Source organism: Homo sapiens, chromosome 19 (assembly GCF_000001405.40).
Source record: "Homo sapiens chromosome 19, GRCh38.p14 Primary Assembly".
NCBI lineage: Eukaryota > Metazoa > Chordata > Mammalia > Primates > Hominidae > Homo > Homo sapiens.
Genome location: NC_000019.10, coordinates 23248830 through 23254983, shown reverse-complemented (window position 1 = coordinate 23254983; position 6154 = coordinate 23248830). Strand labels below are relative to the sequence as shown.

The following is a 6154-nucleotide window of genomic DNA, read 5'->3' as shown; positions in this document are numbered from 1 at the left end:
CATTTAGATATTTTTGCTCATTAAATCTTCATCAGCAGAAACTCTGTAGGTAAGTTTAATGATTCCTCGTGTCACAGACAAGGTGACTGAAAGAAGAAAAAATTCAGGAACTTGCCCAAAGTCAGCCAGATAGGAAGTGGCTGAGCTAAACTGTGCTCTAACCTACTCCTTGCTTCCCTTTTACAGACAATGCCATTGTGCATTGATTAAACAACTATTCATTGAGCACCTGCCATGGGCTGAGGCCTGTGATTGGCACTGGGAATATAGTGTAAACAAGACATAGCTCCCCGGAACAAAAGTATAAGGAAGTAAACAACAAACACCAAGATTATATCAAAGATGTGAAATGCCAGAACATGCCGCTGCTATAAAGAATGTCCACAGGGTTATTGGGGGTAGGTTCTAATTAAAAGGAGGTGAGTAAAGCAAAGCTTTCCAGAGACTGCCAGAGCTGAGCCAGGTCTGGAGGCTCTTATCAATGTCAGTATTTAGTTTGTCTCAGTTTCTTTGTATGCAGCCCCTAAAATCTTTAGAATGTCTGAAAAGAGAAGCATCTTTTGTATGTTAATGAGATGATTTCTGGCTGGAGGCTTCTGGACAGCCTCAGGACCAGGATTGATTGCCAGAGAAACCAATTGTGTAATAGAGGATTAAAACTCTCAGCTGGCTGGGCGTGGTGGCTCATCCCTGTAATCCCAGCACTTTGGGAGGCAGATCGCCTAAGGTCAGGAGTTCAAGACCAGCCCAGCCAAAATGGTGAAACCCCGTCCCTACTAAAAATACACAAATTAGCTGGGTGTGGAGGTGAGCATCTGTAATCCCAGCTACTCAGGAGGCTGAAGCAAGAGAATCGCTGGAACCTGGGAGGCAGAGGCTGCAGTAAGGCGAGATCAAGCAACTGCACTCCAGCCTGGGTGACAGAGCAAGATTCCATCTCAAAAAACAAAAACAATCAAAACTCTCAGTTTAACTTCTTACCTCCTTGGATGGTAGAGAAGCCATCCGGGCTTTGTAAAAGTAAAAGGAGTACCTTATTTGATTCAACTAAATAAATTGTTAAATAAAGGGGAATGTCAATGAAAAGCTCTTCCACCCCAGCCTCACTAGTTAAAGTGCCAATTAGGGGAAGTTTTTTTGGTATCCTGAAATTGCTTTTGGCCTTTCCATGCATATCATCCTTAAGAAAGGGCACACTCTTAAACCAACCTGTGACCTCATACCATTCTAAAAAAAAAAAAAAGTTTATACCAAAAGTGTACAATTTAGCTGTTTTCATTAAGCCAACAATATTTTATAAGCATATGCAAGCAAAGGTTATTCTGTCATGTGCTGGGCTTTATCATTTGTAACCCTTAGGGCAAATCTTATAGTATTGTTGGAGGAATCATAAAACCACTTGATTTTTTTTTGAGACAGAATCTCACTCTGTCAGTGAGGGTAGAGTACAGTGGTGCAATCTCGGCTCACTGCAACCTCTGCTTCCTGGGTTAAAGCCATTCTCCTCCCTCAGCTTCCTGAGTAGCTGGGATTACAGTCATGCACAATGGTACCTGGCCAACTTTTGGTATTTTTAGTAGAGACAGGGTTTCATCATGTTGTCCAGTCTGGTTTCGAACTCCTGACTTCAAGTGATCCACCCACCTTGGCCTCCCAAAGTGCTGGGATTATAGACATGAGCCACTGAGCCTGGCCAAAAACCCCTTGATTAAAAAAATGTTCCAGACGCAGTGGCTCACACCTGTAATCCCAGCACTTTGGGATGCCGAGGCGGGTGGGTCCCAAGGTCGGGAGTTCAAGACCAGCCTGGCCAAGATGGTGAAACTCCGTCTCTACTAAAAATACAAAAATTAGCCAGGCATGGTGGCAGGCGTCTGTAATACCAGCTACTCGGGAGGCTGAGGCAGAGAACTGCTTGAACCCGGGAGGGGGAGCTTGCAGTGAGCCAAGATCGCGCCACTGCACTCCAGCCTGAGCGGCAGAGTGAGACTACATCTCAAAAAAGTTAACAAAATGCTAACAATATTTAAGACATTGCTGATACTACTTTACCAATAATTTTAAAGTCGCCTTATTAAAGATTATACATAAGTCACAAACTTTTTTTTTTTTTTTTTTTTTGAGATGGAGTCTCACAGTCTCGCCCAGGCTGGAGTGCAGTGGCACCATCTCGGCTCACTGCAAGCTCCGCCTCCTGGGTTCACGCCATTCTCCTGCTTCAGCCTCCTGAGTAGCTGGGACTACAGGCGCCCACCACCTCGCCCAGCTAATTTTTTGTATTTTTAGTAGAGACGGGGTTTCGTCGTGTTAGTCAGGATGGTCTTGATCTTCTGACCTCGTGATCCACCTGCCTTGCCTCCCAAAGTGCTGGGATTACAGGCCTGAACCACCGTGCCCAGCCTCTAATTTTTTATTTCTGATTTAAAGTTGGATGTCTTGGCCGGGCACGGTGGCTCACTTTGGGAGGCCGAGGTGGGCAGATCACGAGGTCCGGAGATGAAGACCATCCTGGTTAACATGGTGAAACACTGTCTCTACTAAAAATACAAAAAAAATCAGCTGGGCGTGGTGGCACGCACCCATAATCCCAGCTACTGGGGAGGCAGAAGTAGGAGAATAGCTTGAACCCGGGAGGTGGAGGTTGCAGTGAGCCAAGGTCGCATTGCGCTGCTGCACTCCAGCCTGGGTAACAGAGTGAGACTCTGTCTCAAAATAAATAAATAAAAAGAAAGTTGGATGTCTTGTAAGATAATGCTGAGTAATGCAGAAATACACGTAGACATTTATGCATGTGATTTGTACTTACACAGACCCCCCCACACCACAAAATAAAACAGATAACCACAGCCTGACCATTAGGGCCAAGGTCAAATAGCAAAATAAGTTTGCCTTTAATCTGTTTTCTTCATATATAAACATTGGAGGTCAAGACTGTGGACAAGGCTGGGCTCATGCCTGTAATCCCAGCACTTTGGGAGGCTGAGGCGGGTGGATCATGAGGTCGGTAGTTCAAGACCAGCCTGGCCAAGATGGAGAAATTCTGTCTCTACTAAAAATACAAAAATTAGCTCGGCGTGGTGGTGGGCGCCTGTAATGTCAGCTACTCAGGAGACTGAGGCAGGGAATTGCTTGAACCCAAGAGGTGGAAGTTGCAGTGAGCCAAGATCGTGCCACTGCACTCCAGCCTGGGTGACAGAGCAAGTCTGTCTCAAAAAAAAAAAAAAAAGGCCGGGCGTGGTGGGTCACGTCTGTAATTCCAGCACTTTGGGAGGTGGGAGCCGGCAGATCACCGGAAGTCGGGAGTTCAAGACCAGCCTGACCAACATGGAGAAACCCTGTCTCTAATAAAAATACAAAAGATTAGCTGGGTGTGGTGGCACGTGCCTGTAATCCCAGCTACTTGGGAGGCTGAGGTAGGAGAATTGCTTGGACCTGGGAGGTGGAGGTTGTGGTGAGCCGCGATCCTGCCATTGCACTTCACTGCACTCCAGCCTGGGCAATAAGAGTGAAAGTCTGTCTCAAAAAAGACTGGACAGATATGAAGACATAGAGTTTACTTCTCCTGTCACCCCATCACTTGTTGTTCACTGTTTAATCTGGAAGGAAGGTGGTCAACAGGTGGCCAGCAGTGGTCTATGTGTGGTTATTTTATTCTTGCTGCCTTCTGCTCTTTTATGGCCACTATCTGTTCCACCCTGGGAACTGAAGAGATGTTGGTAGGAAGAGGCTTTCCCCCACCTCTGATGTCCAGGCCCTTCACTCAGCTGACATCGCAGCTGCACTTCAATATGGCAGCTATTGGCCACGTGTGGCTCCTGGGTGCCTGGAATGTCGCTGGTCTAAACTGCGATGTGCTGGAATGGTAAAATACAGAGTGAGTTTCAAAGATTTAGTGATATATATATATATATATATATATATATATATATATATGTATATATATATACACACACACATATATATACATATATACACACATACATATATACATATATACACACATATATACATATATACATACATATACATGTATATACATATATAATTATTGCTCACATATTAAACTGATAATATTTTGGATATATTGGGTAAGTTAAATTGTTACAATCAACTCCACCTTTTTCTTGTTTCTTTTTAAAGTTGGCTACTAGAAAATTCAAAATTCACATGTGGCTTATATTTTATTTCAGAGGATTGCCTTTTTAAAAAAGTCTCAGGCTGCTTGCTCAAATGCCAGAAGCCAGGAAGATCATAAAAACTGAAATTTTAAAATTATTGTTATTATATATTTTTCATTTGTGAATAGCCGTATAGTATGTTATTTATAAATACATGAAACCTCATACACGAGGTCAAATGCAAATACCCTCCGGGGTGGGCTAAGCTCAGGGAGGAAGCCCTGCCTGAAAACGCTGCAGCTTAGGCTGTCACTCTTTCTTCATTCAGTCCAGCGTTTGGTCAGGTCTTCTGTCACTTAAGGCCTGAAGGGGCTGGGCCTTAGACGTTTTCCAATCAGGGACCCTGAGCTGGGGACCGTCCAATCAGGCACGCAACTGGAGCGGACAGGGCGGCTTCCGGGATTTGGCGGGGCCTTTGTCTCTCGCTGCAGCTGGAGCGCTTGGTCTCGTCTTCCCTGCTTTGTGTCCCCTGCTCTTAGAGGCCCAGCCTCTGTGGCCCTCTGACCTGCAAGCATTGGGAGATCCACAGCTAAGACGCCAGGGCCTCCCCTGGAAGCCTAGAAATGGTGAGAGTGGCGGCTCCGACATCCGGAGAGAGAGGGAGGGGCTGGTTGAAACCTGTGGGAAGTGGCTGTGGCGGACTCGGGCCTCCCCGCAGTCATCTCCACAAACTGCGCCCTGAGTTCTCCTTGCCCAGCTGGGCCTCAGTCCCCTTCAGCCATAAGATGGCGGCTTCGCTGACAGCCGGCCCCCGGGCGTCTTGTCTCTTCCCCGCCCAGTGACTGTGCCCTGACCTGGAGCCCTCTCTGGGCAGCTCTGCTCCCGCAGCGCAGCGTCTCTCCCAGATTGTGCAGGGACCAAGGGAGGGTAGTCAGGGGAGAATCCTGACTCGGGGAGCGGGTTCATGAATGGGAAGGGCTTTAGTCCGCTGCGTTTCCAGTTCATCTTTCCCCCTATTAAAAATTTATGGCAGGCCGGGCGCTTTGGTTCACGCCTGTAATCCCAGCACTTCGAGAGGCCGAGGCGGGCGGATCACCCGAGGCCAGGAGTTCGAGACCAGCCTGGCCAACATGGCGAAACCCCATCTCTACTAAAAATATAAAAATTAGTCTGGCACAGTGGCCTGCGCCTATAATGCTAGCACTTTGGGAGGCCGAGGTGGGCGGATTACGAGGTCAGGAGTTCGAGACCAGCCTGACCAACATGGTGAAACCCCCGTTTCTACTAGAAATACAAAAAATTAGCCGGGCGTGGTGGCGCGGTCCTGTAATCCCAGCTACTCAGGAGGCTGACGCAGAAAAATCGCTTGAACCCGGGAGGCGGAGGTTGCAGTGAGGCGAGCTGACGCCATTTGCTGTCCAGCTTGGGTGACAGAGCTTGACTCTGTCTCAAAAAAAAAAAGCCGGGCATAGTGGCGCATGCTTGTAATCCCAGCCACTCGGGAGGCTGAGGCGGGACAATCGCTTGAACCTGGGAGGAGGTTGCAGTGAGCCAAGATCGCGCCACTGCACTCCAGCCTGGGCGACAGAGTAAGAAGACTCTGTCTAGAAAAAAAAAAAAAAAAGGCAGTCTCTGCAAAAATATTAAATAATTTAATCAAAGAGTGGTTCAAAAATTTTAGAGCACCCCTATGGGTTGTAGTTTTTGGTTTATAAGAGGGGCTTGAAGGACTTTGATAAGGTGCATGATGCAAAAATCCCAAATTCAATAATTGGTTAGGTACAGTTATATTCTTTCTGTCTTCCTGTCTTTGTTTGTTTGTTTCTCTCCTCTTTTCTTCTTCTTAGTTTTTTTTGTTTGTTTGTTTGTTTTGTTTTTTTGAGACGGAGTCCTGCACTGACGCCCAAGCTGGAGTGCAGTGGCACGATCTGCAACCTCCACCTCCCGGGTTCAAGTGATTCTCCTGCCTCAGCCTCCCAAGTAGCTGGAATTACAGGCGCCCACCACCATGCCCGGCTAATTTTTGTATTTTTAGT

General features: G+C 46.8%; 1 protein-coding gene across 4 annotated transcripts in view, besides 2 other annotated features; it reads left to right on the top strand.

The window, feature by feature from the left end:
- Positions 4490-4549: a silencer, noted in NCBI's record as "silent region_10459". NCBI's record gives its function as "represses an Ori minimal core promoter by ATAC-STARR-seq in GM12878 lymphoblastoid cells {active_cell/tissue: GM12878}" and the evidence as "EXISTENCE:reporter gene assay evidence [ECO:0000049][PMID:35858748]".
- The window catches only part of ZNF724 (zinc finger protein 724), a 28796-nt gene continuing 27231 nt past the window's right edge, over positions 4590-6154 (top strand). For all 4 annotated transcript variants that reach the window (XM_024451520.2, NM_001355404.2, NM_001355405.2 and 1 more), the window contains exon 1: positions 4590-4744. Coding sequence is in view for 1 of the 4 variants with exons in the window: in NM_001355404.2 (NP_001342333.1) it covers positions 4742-4744 (3 nt within the window). In the remaining 3 variants the exon portion in view is untranslated. The remainder of the gene's footprint in view (positions 4745-6154) is intronic.
- Positions 4680-4969: an enhancer, noted in NCBI's record as "active region_14391". NCBI's record gives its function as "activates an Ori minimal core promoter by ATAC-STARR-seq in GM12878 lymphoblastoid cells {active_cell/tissue: GM12878}" and the evidence as "EXISTENCE:reporter gene assay evidence [ECO:0000049][PMID:35858748]".